The 17,891-nt window shown below is 34.3% G+C and overlaps 1 protein-coding gene across 9 annotated transcripts in view; it reads right to left on the reverse strand.

Annotated features, from left to right (window-relative positions):
• Positions 1-17,891, reverse strand: part of CDH18 (cadherin 18) — a 1,104,418-nt gene that overhangs the window by 670,648 nt on the left and 415,879 nt on the right. The gene's annotated exons all lie outside the window — the stretch shown is intronic.

The following is a 17,891-nucleotide window of genomic DNA, read 5'->3' on the forward strand; positions in this document are numbered from 1 at the left end:
AATAAATTTTGAAAATGCTATTATATAGGAAGTTGAAATTTTTTGAGGAATTTTTCTGAAAGAATCAGACTGTAATATACAAGTAGAAAAGCTGCAAATTAGATAAATATAAATAAGGACAGAAAAATTAACTTTGAAGATGTCTTTCTGTTCAGGTAGAGGAAGAGGAAGCAAATGATTTGTGGTCTCATCAAAAGCTGAAAGAATAGTTCAGTTAGTTACAGAGAACTGTTTGCATTGTAATATTTAATGTTACAAAAATAAATTAATTATAAAAATATATCTTATTTCAAATTTAGTTAGCTAATTCCATCTCATGGATATAAACAAATTGTAATCCAAAAAGCTAATCCAGCCCAGTTGTGGTGGTTCATACCTATAATCCCAGAACTTTGGGAGGCTGAGGTGGGCGGATCACTTTAGGCTAGGAATTCTAGACCCACCTGGCCAACATGACGAAACTCCGTCTCTACTGAAAATACAAAAATTGGCCCGGCGTGGTGGCAAGCACCCGTAGTCTCAACTATTTGGGTGGCAGAGGCACGAGAATCACTTTAACCCAGGAGGCAGAGGTTGCAGTGAGCTGAGATGACACTACTGCATTCCAGCCTGGACAACAGAGAGAGACTCTGCCTCAGAAAAAAAAAAAAAGAAAGAAAGAAAAGTTAATTCAGTTAAAATAAGGTAATTAGGGTGAACTCTAATCTAATATCATTAGTGTCCTTATAAAAACAATGCCATGTGAAGAAAAAGGCAGTGACGGGGTGACAGTCTATAAGCCAAGGAACACCAAAGATTTCTGACAAACCACCAGAAGTTTTGGGTAAATGTGGAACAGACTCTTTTCCCCGGCTCTCATGAGAAACCAACCATGCCAATATCTTGATCATGGACTTCTAGCCTCCAGAACTGTGAAGCTATCAGTGTCTGATGTTTAAACCATGTGTTTGTAGGAGTTTGTTAACACAACTCTAGCAAACCAATACAGATTTTTGAAACTGAGAAGCAGAGTGCAGCTGTAACAAATACTGAAAAATATAGAGGTAGTTTGGGATTGGATAATGAGTAGAAGCTGTAAGAATTTTGAGATGCATGATTTGAAAAAGCCTACATTGCATTGAAGAGACTGTTAGTAAAACTATGGACATTAGAGGCAATTCTAGTGATGGCTCAGAAAGAAAAGAGGAAAGGTACAAAGTTCCCATCATTTTAAAGAATGTCTAGTCATGAAAATAATGTTGCTAGAAATATAAATGTTAAAGGGGATTCCGATGAAGTCTCCAATGGAAATAAGGAATATATTAATGGAAACTGAAGGAAAGGTGAACCTTGCTCAAATAACATATGAATTGATTGAGATGGAAAATAGAACTGGTAAGTGGAAAAGTGGCATATTTAGATGAGAACATTATTTATTTATTTATTTATTTACTTATTTATTAGATATGGAGTCTTGCTTTGTTGCCCAGGCTGGAGTGCAGTGACACAATCATAGCTCACTGCAGCCTCAAACTCCTGGGCTCAAGTGATCCTCCCACCTCAGCATCCCATGTAGCTGGGACTATACGCATGCACCGCTATGCCCAGATAATTTTTTCCCCCTCTTTAATGATGGGGGTGTTGCTATGTTGCCAAGACTGGTCTGGAATGCCTATTCTCAAGAGATATTTCTGTCTTGGCCTCTGAAAATGCTTGGATTACAGGTGTGAACCACTGCATCTGGCCTAGATGAGATTTCTAAGCAAAGTGTTGAAGGCATGGTGTGGTTTCTACTTGCTGCTTGTAGTGAAATGTGAGAGGTGAGAAGTCCATTGAAAGATCAATTGCTAAGCAAGAAGAAATTAGCACAATAATTTGTAAGATTTTGGCTTATTCAGATCGCATACCGTGGAAACAGGGCCAAGGATGCAGCTGGACAACTGCTTGCTAAAGTGATTTAGGTGTATAATGCAAGGATCCAATCAACCATGTCAGTAGAAGCCAGGAATACAGACATAGTGATTCATGAAAGGTGTGTGGAGGCCTCTCTTGTGTGATGTCTTGAACCTCTGTGAATTGCATGGGAAGTAGACAAGATTTCTGAAAATTCTGAAACAGCAGAAACGCTGCCTGCCTGGACTGATAAAGACATAGAAGGGGTGAAATAAAGGAATAATGGGAACAGAATCAGTGAAGGAAAAATGACTTTGAGATCAGAGCCATAGATCCACAGAGCAGGGCCACCTCTTTGAGGTTCCAGAGGGCAGACTTCCACGGACAGCCTGGGAAACTGGGCTACCTCTCTAGGAGGCATCTCGGGGGTAGGGAGTATAGTCCAGATCCGGGAGTACTGAGCTGCCTCTCTGCCATAGGATTAGCAAGCCAAGGATAATTATTAAAAGACTTAAAATCTAATGGGTTTTATCCTGCCTAGTTTTACAATTGTTTGGGATAGGCAACTCTTACTTTTTCCTTCCAACTTCTCTCTTTTGGTATAGAAATGTCTATTCTACTCCTATAGCAGCAGTATATTTTGAAGGAAGATAACTTGTCTGGCTCATAGTTTTACAGATGGAGAACAATTTGCTTCAGGATAAGTCAGAGCCTGAGTTTCACTCATGTCTGATTTAAATAATATTTAGATGGGATTTTATATTTAGACTTGATGTTGGAATGAGTTAAGATTTTTGGGAGTGTTGGCATGGTGTGAATGTGTCTTGCATGTGAGAAGGGCATAAATTGGGGGGAGTCAAAAGAGATTATATTGGATTGAATTCTGTCCCGCAAAAATGTATGGATTAAAGTCAACGCCAGTAAGTCAAAATGTGACTTTCTTTGAAGACAGGGTATTTAGAGAAGTAATCCAGTTAAAATGAAGTGATTAGCATAGACTCCAAACCAAGATGACTGGGATTCTTATAAAAGGGGGACAACTGGACAGAGACATACACATAGTGAGAGCATCATGTGAACTAAAAAGTAGAGATTGAGGTGATGCTCTACCAGCCAAGGAATGCCCCAAAATTGGCTAAAACCTCCAGAAACCAGGGGAGAGGCGTCAGAAGGAAGAAATGCTCCTAATTCCATGATCTTTGACTTCTAGCCTCCAGAACTGCAAGACAACACATTCTGTTGTTTCAGCTACCCTGTTTGTGCTCTTTGCTATGGCAATCCTCAAAAACTAATAAAATATCACATAGACAAAACAAGAAAAAAATCTAGCCCTTTTTTAAAAAAATAAAAAATACTAAAATTTATACATAAATTTAAATCTTATTTTTAGTTTATTTTTGATATATGTGAGATACCTATACATTGATGAAGTATTCTAATAAAATTTAACTAGCATATCCCTTCTTAATAAAGTTTTTCTTAATGTGTAAAAACATAAATGTTGCAGAATTGCAATTGAAATGAATTATTCACATTATTATAATAAATATGTTTTGCATACTCACCTGATAAACTTCCTCATTTTTCAATAGTAAATACTGTTGCTAACGTTACCCTGCATGACTAATCATTGTAAAATCTTTACAGTCTCATTTTTCTATGTGAAGAAAAGCATTACATGTCAAGAGCACTGAAGTTGGAGTTTTTGTTTTTTGCTTCACTCAAGGTGTGCTGATTTAAATTTTGATCACATCTTAAAAAATAGCTTCACAGCAACATCTAGACTGGTGTTTTACCAAACAACTGGGCACCATAGCCTTTCCAAGTAGATACAAGTTGACACATAAAATTAACCATCATAATCTGTAATTTACTAACATTCTACTAACCTCTCCCTGGTGCAAATGATCACAATTTTTTATGTTGACCACTCATTAATTTTTAAACTGAGTTCCATATATTTACTCTTGCCCCATCCTTCTCCATAGATCCATTCTTCATATACCATCTGGAGTGAACTTTTATATTTTAGAATATAACTACAATTATATCACCCTCACACATTTAAAACTCTGGCTTCCCATTCTCTAAGGACAAAGTCTCAAACCTTTGCAATGGTCTACAAGTACATAAAGGATTCTTCTCTATCATCCTCTGAATGCTGCTACTTGAACACTGTCCCTCTCCCACAGTGTACTCCAAGCACACTAACCTTGTTGCATTTCCTCATTCAGGACAACCTCATTCTCATCTTAGGGCATCTAGTCAACTGGTCTCCTCCTAGAATGGGCCTCTCTCAGATCTTCACATGGCCGGCTCTTTTTCATGGTGCAGGATTCTGCTTGAATTTTACCAAGTGAAACTTTTGTCCTGATTTCCTTCCTTAACTAGTAGCCTGTCTTCCCAACCCAGTTGCTCTCCATCTACTTTCCTACTTGGAATTTATTTGTAGTATAGTGTTTGGAGTATAGTGAGGGAGGGAGAATCGTCTTAATTAGGATGATTCAGAGGATGATGGAGAATCCTTTCTGTCCTGGTAGACCATTGAAAGGATTTGAGATTTTGTTTTTAGAGAAAGGAACGCTAAGGTCTTAACTATCACAACCTGAAATTTACTTGTGTAAATTATAATATAATTGAATTGTGTTATATTAGTTACTTACTTATCCACTTGTTTATCTTTATGTATATCATTAGAAGTTAAGCTTCAGAAAGAAAAAGTTTTCTTCAAACAAGTTCTTTTTTCTAGCTCCAGTGCTTTATAGTGTATGGCAAATCATAAGTACTGAAAACTAATTTTGTAAAAAAAAAAAAAATAAAATAAACAAATAAATGGCTGTGCCCTAAATGTATAACTTTTACCACAAACAAAAATATTATCAAGTTGTAATAAATGATAGAAATAACAAAGTAAGCTACATAAACTTGAGTTAAACATGTATTAACTGACAATACCATATTTCTGAAATAGTTTCCTTTTCATTTAAAAATGTGATTATGTGTGTTTTGAAAACAATATAATAAAGAACAATGATTTCTTTATACTTTTGATATAGACAGACTCTCATTTCTACATCTTAGGCATTATTTACCATTTATTTACTACTACTTTTCTTGACCTCTTTGAGGAAAAATTGCAAATTAAAAACAATTGTTTATTTTACTTTATTTTCAGAAGTATGCCTACATGTTTATAGGGCTTACTTCTAAGAGGTTACTCACAGTGGAGTTTGTAATAAAGTTGAAAGTATTAAAGTTAAAGATAAAGTATGACTTTGAAAACATTGCTAAATGGAGAATTCCTCTGACTCATTTTCAATTTTAAGAGACATAAATGATTACAATATATTTACAAATTGTTATTGTTTGGGTTTAATTTGCATATTTTGTAGACTTAATAAGGTTGATTCAAAAGAAGAATACTTAGGGATTTGGTATTACAAGGATTCCTTATTTTCTGCTTGGAATTTTTAACATAAGCAAACAAACAAATATAAGAAATGTTTACACCAAGGCTTTGCAACAGTTATTAAGCAGAAGCAAATTAATTCCATTCTTATACCCTCTAGCTCAGCCAGAAGCATTATTAGACTGCACCATTAAAAATAAGATAAATTGATTTATTAAAAAATAAGAAAACATAAAATAACAGATAATTTAAAAATTAAAATCTTTTAATTTCTGTAAATAGTTTTTTCATCCCAATGTGTACCACCATACCCTGAATTTGGAACAGTCCGTACACAATGGCAACGATACATAAATGTTACTGTAGACAGTGCAACTTGTAGATTTTGAAAAATTTTGCTTTTGTTTCTATTTTCATTTTCTCTTTCTTTATAAAGATATTTTACCTGCAATTAAGCCCCCAAAGTTGAAACCTTTTTTGGTCATTTATTTTTAGAACTTTCCTTTTCTGTTTGGAATAAGGACCAGAAAGATTTTCCAAAAAATATAAATAATAAGATGTTAAAATGGGAATCTTCATTTATGTTTGTTGTCACAGAAAGCTAAAAATAAATAGGAGGAAAAGGTTCTACTTACCAATGTGAATTGTTTAACCACCTATACAGAACTTAAAAAGGAGATTTCAAGGTCCTTAGGCCAATAACCAACTTAAAGAGTTAGAATAGTTCAGACTAAAGTGGCCAAATAAGAGTGAATTTGAATGTGTGTGTGTGCATGTTTGCATGTTTAAATATATACTTTTTTATGTTTTGCTTTTGCCTATCTACTTTACCTTTGTTAAGCATACAATAGTGTCTTTTGTTTTGTTTTTTTTTTTCTTTTTTTTGAGACAGAGTCTCGCTCTGTCACCCAGGATGGAGTGTAGCGGTGCGATCTTGGCTCACTGCAAGCTCCGCCTCCCAGGTTCAAGCGATTCTCCTGCCTCAGCCTCCCGAGTAGCTGGGACTACAGACGCCCATCACCATACCCGGCTAATTATTTTTATTTTTATTTTTAATAGAGACAGGGTTTCACTGTGTTAGCCAGGATGGTCTCGATCTCCTGACCTCGTGATCCGCCCGCCTTGGCCTCCCAAAGTGCTGGGATTACATGCGTGAGCCACCGTGCCTGGCCTAGTGTCTTTTTTAAATTAAAATTTATGTCTTTATTAGAGAAAAACAAAAGTAAAAATATTTTGATTCTAAAAATCTAAGCAATTTTATACAAATATCTGAAGACTTAGAGTTGCTGGGACCATCAGCATTCATAGATAAGTGAACTGAGATTGGATTCTTGTATTTTGCCAGGTTGCGTATGCTCAGATTATACCACCAAAAGTCCAAAGCACCATGTCTTCTGTCCACTAAGCTTAAAGAACTGAGTTTCTAAACTTAATTATTTATCTCCATTTTGATTAGTCCATAGAAGTGGGTCTTGGTCTAAGGACCATAAAACCTTTACTCATATAACAGTATTAGGTAAGTGAATAGGTCAGTGAGATAGCCCTCCTGCATGCATTGACTCAAGAACTCAGTTTGACAAAAGCTCTGTCACATAAAATACATGGATTCCTAGGTCTTCATTCCATTTAGACAGCAAGAAAGTGATAACATCATGGAAAAGCAGGCACCCGAGATGTCCATGGGCTGGTCCTGGAAGGGGACATAAGACTTTCACTCATATTCCATATGCTAGAACTTTGTCTCAGTGCAATTTCTAACAGCAGAGTTATCTAATAAATCTAGTTGCTATTTGGACAGCTAATCTCCTGCATTAAATTGATGCTAAGGAATATTGGTAGCTGATCACATTCTGTATATGACCTCTTCTTCTCAAAGGATTCCCTCCATTCTCTTGCTTCAACTATATTCTGACTTATTTCCAGAACATCATTTCTCTGACTTCCTCTAGTAATCAATTTTAAATTCTTAAATACTTGTGGCTCAAAATAAAGAGGCATATATTTACCCTAATTGTTCATTGTTACCTTCACTATATAAATACAGTTCTCAATGGGGGTGTCTGCATTTTCCATGCCAATAAATCCAACAATTTTTATATCTTCTGCATTATTTGACATTTCAGCCACATTTGAGACTTCAGTTTTCCTTGTTGACACACTTTCATTAATCAGCTTGACATTCTCTTGGTTTTATGATTTCTCCTCATTTTTCTCTTTCTAAGGAGTGATATCGGACAGGGTAGTGAAGGGAGTCATGTGATGAATGGTATTACTAACACTGCTATCAGTTGTTAGACACTTCTATTTCAAACAAAATAAAGTCTAGGAATGGAAATAAAAAACAAAGCAAGGGTTTCCTACTGGAACCATTTCCATGTAAGTCTACACAAAATCCCCTCAGATAGCCTTGACTTCATTTTTGCAGTACTTGGTCATGCAGACACATTATTTTATGGATACTCACAAATGAGTTGGGGAAATTTGAAGGCTTAATCTTTGTACTTTAAAAAGTCTATTCTGCAAACTTTAACCAGACTAGTATGATCTTTGCTGTCCACATTTTCTCATAATTTCTTTGTCATCTAGAAAGCTTTATTTTTAACTATTGCAAAAATCAAAAAATGTAGGAAAGAAAAATAGAGAAGATCACTAGGAAACAGAAGAGTAAGATAAAAAGAAGACAAGTTACATTCCTAAATTGATTTTATTTTCATTCCTAATATCCTTAATGCAATTCAGAGTTGCCCACACATGGAATTTAGAAAAAAAATGAACACATGTTATAATTAACTGGGAAGCTAGCTGCAAAGGAATAACAACTGTATTCTACCTTGCAGTTTTTTATTCAGTGGATTTGAAAAAAAGTTCTGATAATAGGTATTTTTAACTAGGTCTGTGGGTGATTTTTTCATGACAATGGGTTGAGGACTTTAAGAACTAGGTTTAAGAAATTATAATTTTACCTGTGGAAAAAAGATTATTTGATAGCTCCTCAATTACTTGAAAGCTCAATTATTTGATAGCTCCTCAATTACCTGAAAGTCTGCATCATGGGAAACAACAGTCTAATTTTGTATATTTACAGGATACTAGAGCAAATCTTGGTAGTAATAGCAAGATAGATTTGAGAATATTATAAAAAAGAGACAGTAACATCAGAGATTTAAAGTATTGAAGCTTGTTGCTTAAAAAGTAGAGATGCCTATGAAGTATAATAAGTTCAGATAGACATAAAGAAACACAAAAAAGTAATTATTATACAATCAAGGAAGTGTTTACATTTAAAGGGAAGGATGGGGCTGTGATAGGGATGGACCACATGGAACAGGTTTAGACACGTCTAGCATAGTTTTATTTCTTAACTTAGGTGGCAGTTACAAGGGTAAACACTTTCTTTTTTCTATATTTTTTAAGTTTTATATTTGTTTTATGTGGTTCTGTGTATATTGAAAATGTTTATGTGAAGACTGAATAGCTGCCTATTGCAAAGATCTACCATAGATAGATCCATTATGTTTTTCTATGGAGACTCTTAACTACAAGATTATAAGCCTCATAATCAAAATGCATGTTTAAAGCTTTGTAGCTTAGCTGCTTTACTCACATTGTAATACATTTTTAAATAATAATACTGACTAAAAACAAGAATTCCCCAAAGTTGTAATTTTTGTTATGCCTTTAACTCTGCTAAAGGTGTGATTTCCTATATTTCTATGTTTTATTCTTCTACATGTTGGCTTTGGTTTATTTGATGACTCTATCCTACTTTTAAGTCAACAATTTCATTTTTTTATTTCAATTTTTTTTTTAGATATAGTGGGTCCTATATCTGAAATATAGGGGGTTCCGCTTTGTTACATGAGTATATTGCACCCAGATAGTGAGCATACCACCCAATAGATAGTTTTTCAATTCATACCCCCCTTTCTCTCCCCACCCTGGTAGTCCGTAGTGTCTATTGATTTTATATGTGCTCAATGTTTAGCTTCCACTTATTAGTAAGATCATGTGGTATTTGGTTTCATGTTCCTCTTTTAATTCACTAAGGGTAAGAGCTTCCAGCTCCATCCATGTTTGCTGCAAAGAACATAATTGTATTCCTTTTTATGGCTGCATGGTATTCCATGGTGTATATGTACAACATTTTCTGTATCCAATTTGCCATTGATGGGCACCTAGGTTTATTCCATGTCTTTGCTATTGTAAACAGCACAGTGATGAACATACATATGCATGTGTCTTTTGGGTATAATAATCTGTTTTCCTTTGGGTATATACCCAATAATGGGATTGTTGGGTTGAATGATAGCTGTTTTAAGTTATTTGAGAAACATCTAAACTGCTTTCCACAGTGGTGGAACTAATTTACATTCTCACCAACAGTATATAGTATTTCTTTTCTCTGCAGCCTCTCCAGCATCTGTTGTTTTGTGACTTTTCAAAAATAGTCATTCTGACTGGTGTGAGACGGTACGTCAAATACTTCTTTTCCCAAAGCATCTAGAAATATTTCTTATCCTTTCAATAATTTATGAATAGAAAAAGGAAGATGCAATACTTTATTAATAAATAGTAATGCCTATAAGTCATTGAAAGAAATGGTCTCAGTAGAATCATCACTGGAAATATAATGTATCACATGAGTTCAATATCAATGATTAAATTTTTTCTATAAGTGTTAGCAATTAGTAGTTTCATTAATAGCCATGGAATCCAGAATATATACTGGTAATTAAATTGTATTTACTCTTAATTCAAAGAATGTTATTCAGTGTGTAGAACTAGAAGTTCAATGAAATTATAATTGAACAAACCTTAATGTTGAGAACCTTTTTGGGTAAGAGAGCAATTATATATATGAAATATAAATTATTTTATATTTTATAATTATATATAATTATTTATATATTACACAAATTATATATAATTTTATAATTATATATAAAATACATATAATTATATATAATATATATAATTATATATAATATAGATATAATTATATGTAATATATAATTATATATAATATAGATACAATTATATATAAAAACTATATAATTATATATATATTGGGCTTGAAAACAAATTAAAACACTATGAACAGATACATTTCTTTAAGACTTTCTGTTTTCAATATTGGCATTCCTTGAACCCATTTATTGTCTGTTATATTGCACATTTGTATACAGAGCCTAATATCAGAAATAAATTGCCTGGAGTTTTGAAATACTTTCCTTGTAGACGTAAAGATTAAATATCTCTCTTATGCTTGCAGAGTGGGTATTACATTTTCAGCTGGTTAATCCTTATAATCTGTTGCACAATCTCAATTCCCACAAAAATAAAAAGCTTGTTAAAAGAAGATAAGAAGTTATCTCCTCACAGAGGGCTAATTCTGAGTCTCTGACAAAAATATCTTACTCTAGTAAAATTCTTATTAAATTAAATTAAATGTAAAATTGTACTTAATAAATACAAGATGGTTCTAAAGGAATTAGTGCTGAATTGACATCACCACGATGCTAGAGTCAACTTAGTTGGAGGATGCCATTTGTAAGGAAATCTAAAGACCCTATACAGTTGTAGGTTTCCAAAGGCTAATAAATTTTACTTAACGAAAAGTTGTTTACTGATCCCTATTCAGATGCATTATCCATTGCTTAGTTCTGCAGCTAACAGCCATTCTGAATCCATATATAGACAACTAAGGATGAGGAATTTTTTTTTTTTTTTTTTTTTGAGACGGAGTCTTTTTCTGTTGCCCAGGCTGGAGTGCAGTGGTGAGATCTTGGCTCACTGCAACCTCCGCCTCCCAGGTTCAAGCAATTCTGCTGCCTCAACCTCCCAAGAAGCTGGGACTGCAGGCATATGCCACCACGTCCAGCTAATTTTTGGTATTTTTAGTACAGACGGGGTTTCACTGCGTTAGCCAGGATTGTCTCGATCTCCTGACCTTGTGATCTGCTTGCCTTGGCCTCCCAAAGGAGAAGAGGAATCTTAACGGTTAGCCAGCCTGATGATTCTTGTGAATCAGAGGTTTCTAAAATCTTTGGTTTCTAAACAACCCAAGTATTAGCTTCCCTGGAAGGACAATTATTTATGCTGTTCTCAGAGTATCCATATAATCAAGCCTAGAGTCTGTATTCTCTACCTTTTCCAATATGTGGGCAAGCACATAATTCCCTACTTTCGTTTCACAATCACTTAATTTACCAGTGTACTTTGAATGACATGCATTAAACACTTACTGATACAACACAGGGAAGCAAACAAAGATAAACTAGTGATGACATAACATAAATTGCTGAAATGTGTATTAGTCTGTTCAGGCTTCCATCACAGAATACTATACACTGGGTGGCTTAAAAAATATAAATTTATTTTCTCACAGTTGTGAAGGCTGGAAGTCCAAGACCAAGGTAGAAGCAGGGTTGGTTTCTAGAAAGGCTTCTCTTCCTGTCTTACAGGTGAATGTCTTCACAGTGTGTCCTCACATGGCCTTTCCTTTATACATGCATCAAGAGAGACACATCCCTGCTATATTTTCCTCTTCTTATAGGGACACCAGTTTTATTGGATTAAGGCTCTACCATGATGACCTTATTTTATAATAAGTAGCTCCTTAAAGGCCCTGTCTCCGAATACTTTGGGGGTTGGAGCTTCCAAACTGGAATTGGTGGTAGGAGGAAACCAGTCCATAAACAGATTGTTTCTGTGTCATATGATATGTTAAATACACATGACATATGTGCACAGAATTAACACACAACCTACCCAGTTGCTAAGACCCTGAAATACACAAGGATAGAAACTACTACCACCATTTAATCCTCTCATTCCATTTCCAGTAACAGGCCGTTACATTTACCATAAATGACAACAACTATTGCCAGTACTCTTAACCTTGGAGAGAGTTGGCTTTCTCTCTATGGTTAATGACTATATCTCCTATCCAGAAAGGTCCTTGGTATTTAATGGATGCTCAAAGTATTTGTTTATTAATCAGTTAGTTAATATAGATGACTGTAAATTCTTTGTCTTCAGATGCAAATTATTCTACTTTTACATGATTTGAGAATGTTCCTGCCTTTTCAATTTTAATATTCTGCCAACACTTTAGTAACACCATATCTAAATATAAGCCAATATTTACTTTTATTAGTCACCTGTGGGATGGATGTGAAAATTTATTCTCTTTTTCTTCTTATTCATGAGCTCGACAGTCTTCCCAAACAATATCTCACTTATTTTACATTTCATTTTTTCCAATTGCTTTTGGAGACAAAACAGAATAAAAAATTTTAACAACATTTAATCCATTTGAAAATGGTGTTGGCTGTATCTGGAAAAATATATCTGTAATTGATAACTTCTAACTACCTCTGTCTGCCTCCCTCAGTCTCTGTGCCATTCTTTATGATTATTGCAGCAACCTCCCAAGAATGGTCACCCTGTCCAGCTTTTATTTCCCCTAATTTCTTCTGCCAGAATGATCTTGTTAAAATTCAGCAAAACATCATACGCTTTTGCTAACAAACACTTCCCTTCTTTCTCGCACCAAAGTCCTAACTGTGCTCTTCAAGTCCTGCTACAATATGGCCTCATTAATGCCCTGACTTCAGACTATTTTACTCCCTATAACAAGTTCTTGCTTTTTCCACCCAGTCATCATGTTTTTCTTGCTCTTCTGCAAACTTGAAGACACTGCATTTTTTGTTCCCACTACTTACAATATTTCTCATCCAATATCAACCTGATTAGCAACTTCATTTTCTTCAGGTTTCTTTTCAAAGGCTGTCATCTATAAACAGACCTTGCAAATGGATGAGTTGATTACCATAAGAAAAAAATTTTACTTACTTTCTTTTTATATTTAATATAATTTGAATGCTATTTAAGGTTGTCCAACCATGTCTATGGCCTCAGATGTTCATGTGAGTTTCTAAATATTTTAAATGACAACTTTAATGTAAACTAGTATTTTTCTGTTTCTGAAAAATGTTATGTTTGCATAATAAAAGTTATGAAAAGAACCAGATACTTGCTTTCTATTTTATCCTCTCAAAGCAAATTTGTGTTAAACTGAAATACACGTATTTTTTAATTTTTTTGTTGAAGCCTATATTTGTTGCTTTTATAGTATTGCTATTGAAAAATGTCTGTACACGTTCTTTGCCCACTTTAAAATAGGGTTATTTCTTTGTTTGTTTTTTCCTTGCGGAGCTTTTTAGTTCTTTGTAGATTCTGGATATTAGCCCTTTGTTGGATGTATTTGCAAATATTTTCTCCTGTTCTGTAGGTTGTCTGTTTACTGTGTTGAGTATTTCTTTTGTTGTGTAAAAGCTTTGTAATTTAAATAAGTCCTATTTGTTTATTTTTGTTTTTGTTGTGTTTCCTTTGGAGGACTTAATCATAAATTCTTTGGTTAGGCCAATATACAAAAGATATTTTCCTAGGTTTCCTTCTAGGATTTTTATAGCTTCAGATCTTACATTTAAGTATTTGATCCATCTAGGGTTAATTTTTGTATATGGTAAGAGATAAGGGTTCAGTTTCATTCTTCTGTGTATGGTGATCCAATTTGCCTGAAATCATTTATTGAATAGGGTGTCCTTTCACCAGTGAATACTTTTGTTGATTTTGTCAAAGATCCGTTGGTTGTAGGTATGTGGCTTTACTTCTGGGTTCTCTATTCTGTTCCATTGACACATATCTATTTTCCAAGAAGATATACAAGCAGCCAAAAAGCATATGAAAAAATACGCAACATCACTTATCATCAAAGAAATGAAAACTGAAACCACAATGAGATACCACCTCACCCCTGTCAGAATGGCTATTATTAAAAACTCAAAAAACAACAGATGTTGGTGAGTATGTGGAGAAAGGGGAACACTTATTCATTGTGGGTGAGAATGTAAATTAGTACATCCTCTAAGGAAAACAGCATGGAGATTTCTCAAAAAACTAAAAATGGAACTATCATTCAAACCAGCTATCCTGTACTGGGTATATATAAAAAGGAGAAGAAATCATTACATCCAAAAGATACGCTCGTTATGTTTATCACAGCGCTATTCACAATAGCAAAATCATGGAATCAACCTAAGTGTCCAACAACTGATGAATGGATTTAAAAACTTTGATATATATCTCTACCATGGAATGCTATGCAGTCAAAAAAGAATGAAATAATGTTCTTTGCAACAACATGGATGCAGCTGGAGCCCATTATCCTAAGAGAAATAACTCAGAAACAGTCAAATACCGTATGTTCTCACTTAAAGTGGGAGCTAAACAATTGGATACACATGGGCATACAGAATGAAATAATAGACAATGGGGACTCCAGAAGGTGGGGCAGGGGGAGAGATCAAATACTACCTACGGAATACAATGTACACTATTCAGGTGATGGGTACACTAAAGGCAGAGACTTCACCACTAAACACTATATCCATGTGACACTACTGCACTTGTTTCCCCTAAATCTATCAAAAGAACAACAAAAGGAGGGAGGAAGTACCACCAGACCTACTCTACCTTTCCATGTATTTCCCATCATAGGTGTTATAAAATATGTTAGCATAAAAATAACCTTTTAAAAACAAACAATAAAACTTGTTTGGATGGAATATGTAGAAAAATGTGACTACAGAAATTTAAAATGCCAATACATCTAACTTACATTCTGATATAGTAGTCCCCCCTTATCCATGATGGATACATTTCAATACCTCCACCAGATGCCTGGAATGGAGGCTAGTTCCAACCCTGTATATAATCGTTTTTTGACCTGAGAACTGTGATGACTTTTAAGTGTGTAACAGGGAGGTAGTGTATATGGCATGGGTATGCTGGACAAAGGGATGATTCATGGCCTTTGGGACACAGAAAGATGGTATGAGATTTTATTGTGAAACTCAGAATGGTATACGATTTAAAGTTTATAAATTGTATATTTCTAGAGTTTTTTATTTAATATTTTTAGACTACAGTTGACCACAGGAAACTGAAACTGCATTTGAAAAAGAAAAGCCTCAAATGAAGATTGACTACTGCATTCAGAAGCACATGGAGAATGAAATCTTTGCCTTGAAGAATGTAAACAATGTTTTCTTGTTATTATAAAGTGCAATGGAATGCGAGTGGACTATGAAGAATCAGTGATAACTAATATCATTTAAATGTTTGCTATGAGTGAAGCTATTTTATTTTTTTATTTATTTTCATTTTTTATTTGTATAGATTTATGGGGTACATGAGAAATGTTATTGTGCATATATAATGCATAGTGATTAATTCAGGGTATTTAGGGTTTCCATCACTCAAATATTAATAATTACATTTTTAAGTGTAGTTATCCTATCACACAATGAGTTTATTTCTTTTACTTTATTGTATGTTTGCACCCTTTAACCCACTTTTTTTTTTTTTTCAAGACAGAATCTTGCTCTGTCACCCAGGCTGGAGTGCAATGGCATGATCTTGGCTCACTGCAGTCTCTGCCTCCTGGATTCAAGTGATTCTCCTGCCCCAGCCTCCTGAGTAGCGGGACTACAGGCCCACACCACCACACCCAGCTAATTTTTGTATTTTTAGTAGAGATGGGGTTTCACCATGTTGGCCAGGATGGTCTCGATCTCCTGACCTTGTGATCTGCCCTCCTTGGCCTCCCAAAGTGCTGGGATTACAGGCATGTGCCAACCCAATTCTTTTCATCCTCCTCTTCCCCTCACCTACTCCCTCTTCCCAGTTTCTGTTAACTACCTTTCACTCTCTACTTCCATGTAATCAAATATTTAGCTCAGACATAGGGAAGAACATGCAACATTTGTCTTTTTGTGAATTGGAGTATTTCATACCATTTGCTTTGGAAATGCTGAATATGTAATACGGTTAAAACTAGTTATACATAATTTAATGTCTTAAATAATTTTAATATTCTTTGTTCATGTTGGAGTTGATTTCTATAAAGGGGATTTTGCTGACTTGTTCTTTATTATTTATGTCAGGAGGTTAGAACAAGAGAAAAATAAAATGGACTAAATTTTGTTTAATAGTAACAATTGCACAAATGAAATCAACATAACTAAAAAAAGTAATTTTTTTCACAACAAGGCATATTATGGAAGTAATTCCATAAAGTCTTTGTTGAGAACTGTTTAATAATTGAATGATTTTTGGAAACCTTATATGTAAATTCACTTATATACATTTTGCATTTCAGATTAGCCAATTAAGGCTTTGAATTTTTCAGTAAAATAGCTTATTACATTAATTTAATAATCGTGGCTGAATTATTTTTCATCCCTAACTCATACTCATTTTTTTAGTAAATGTTTTCATAAATTCATTTTTTGTATTCCTTAAAAAAACAAAAATCACAAGTTTCATACTAATTTTTAGAAATATTGTATACTAAACAAAACTGCCTCACTCATGCAGCAAGTTGGTCTATGTTCTCTGTTTGCCAGATGTCCTTCAATAATTTCTGTAAATAGATTCCTCTTCAACAGATTATACATAAAAGATAAAAGGTGATCAGTAACCTTGTGAATATAGTGTGAACCAGAGCAAAGAGTTCCATTCCTAAATCAAGTCCCATGCCATAATCACAATCATCATTAGCCAACTGCACAAAAGTTATCATTCCCTGAATGGGAGCAAAAGCTTTTAGTCTCTCTTTATCACTTGCAACCCCAACTATCATCTTGCAAATTCTTTTGAGGTCAACCTTTCCCTCATCTAAGGCCCAGGGTTGACCAAAGATTTGATAACAGAAAGGGGCTAACTTCTGATGTTTTAATTCAACATAGATGATGTGAATGAAAGTTATTTTATGAAAAATTTAGAAGATGAATTCAATCTTGATGATGAAAAAGTTTTGATTTGTGATAAAGTTGCTTGACACTAAGAAGTGTTTTCTAATCTTTAGTTTGTCTGTTTTCCACTGGTTTGTTCCTGGACCAAAATATAAAAACAGATGGAATAAATTGGTAATGCACACTAATGTCTAAAAAGAAATGACTAAGTCGGGAGTTTGGAGGATGCTAATGCGTCTTTTAAAGTTTGAGGACCATTATACGAAATAAAAAGCACTGAAGAAAAAGAAATAGATTTCCTACCAATAAGAGGAGAAGTTGTGCCCTAGGAGGAGGAATCTGGGATGAAAATCTCTTCCCATTTAGGAGCCAGGAGTAAAGTTCGACTAAGCACATGAGCCAATCCAACATACTTACTCCAACTGAAAGATTTATAGGTTAGAAAATATAATTTAGCCAAGATAAATAACTCTTTTGTACGTTTTTCTGGATGCTGCCCATGTGGGATAAGCAAACAGTAATTGTCAGTCATTTTATTGTCTTTTCTTGTTATTACCAAGAAGCTAATTTCCCTCATCAACCAAGATAAAATTCCCCATTGATGTTTTATCTGGTATTAAAGGTAGCAAAGGAATTTATTTCTACCTAAAGAGACTGATGGGCATTGGATGATAAGGCCAAGTTTAACGGTCTTTAAGCATAAATTTTATTACTTAATCGGCAAGCTGCTTTATTATATTCTGAGAACTATGGCTTCTCTTTGCCTCACTTCCTAAAACTTGGGAATG

Source organism: Homo sapiens, chromosome 5, assembly GCF_000001405.40.
Source record: "Homo sapiens chromosome 5, GRCh38.p14 Primary Assembly".
NCBI classification, from domain to species: Eukaryota; Metazoa; Chordata; class Mammalia; order Primates; family Hominidae; genus Homo; species Homo sapiens.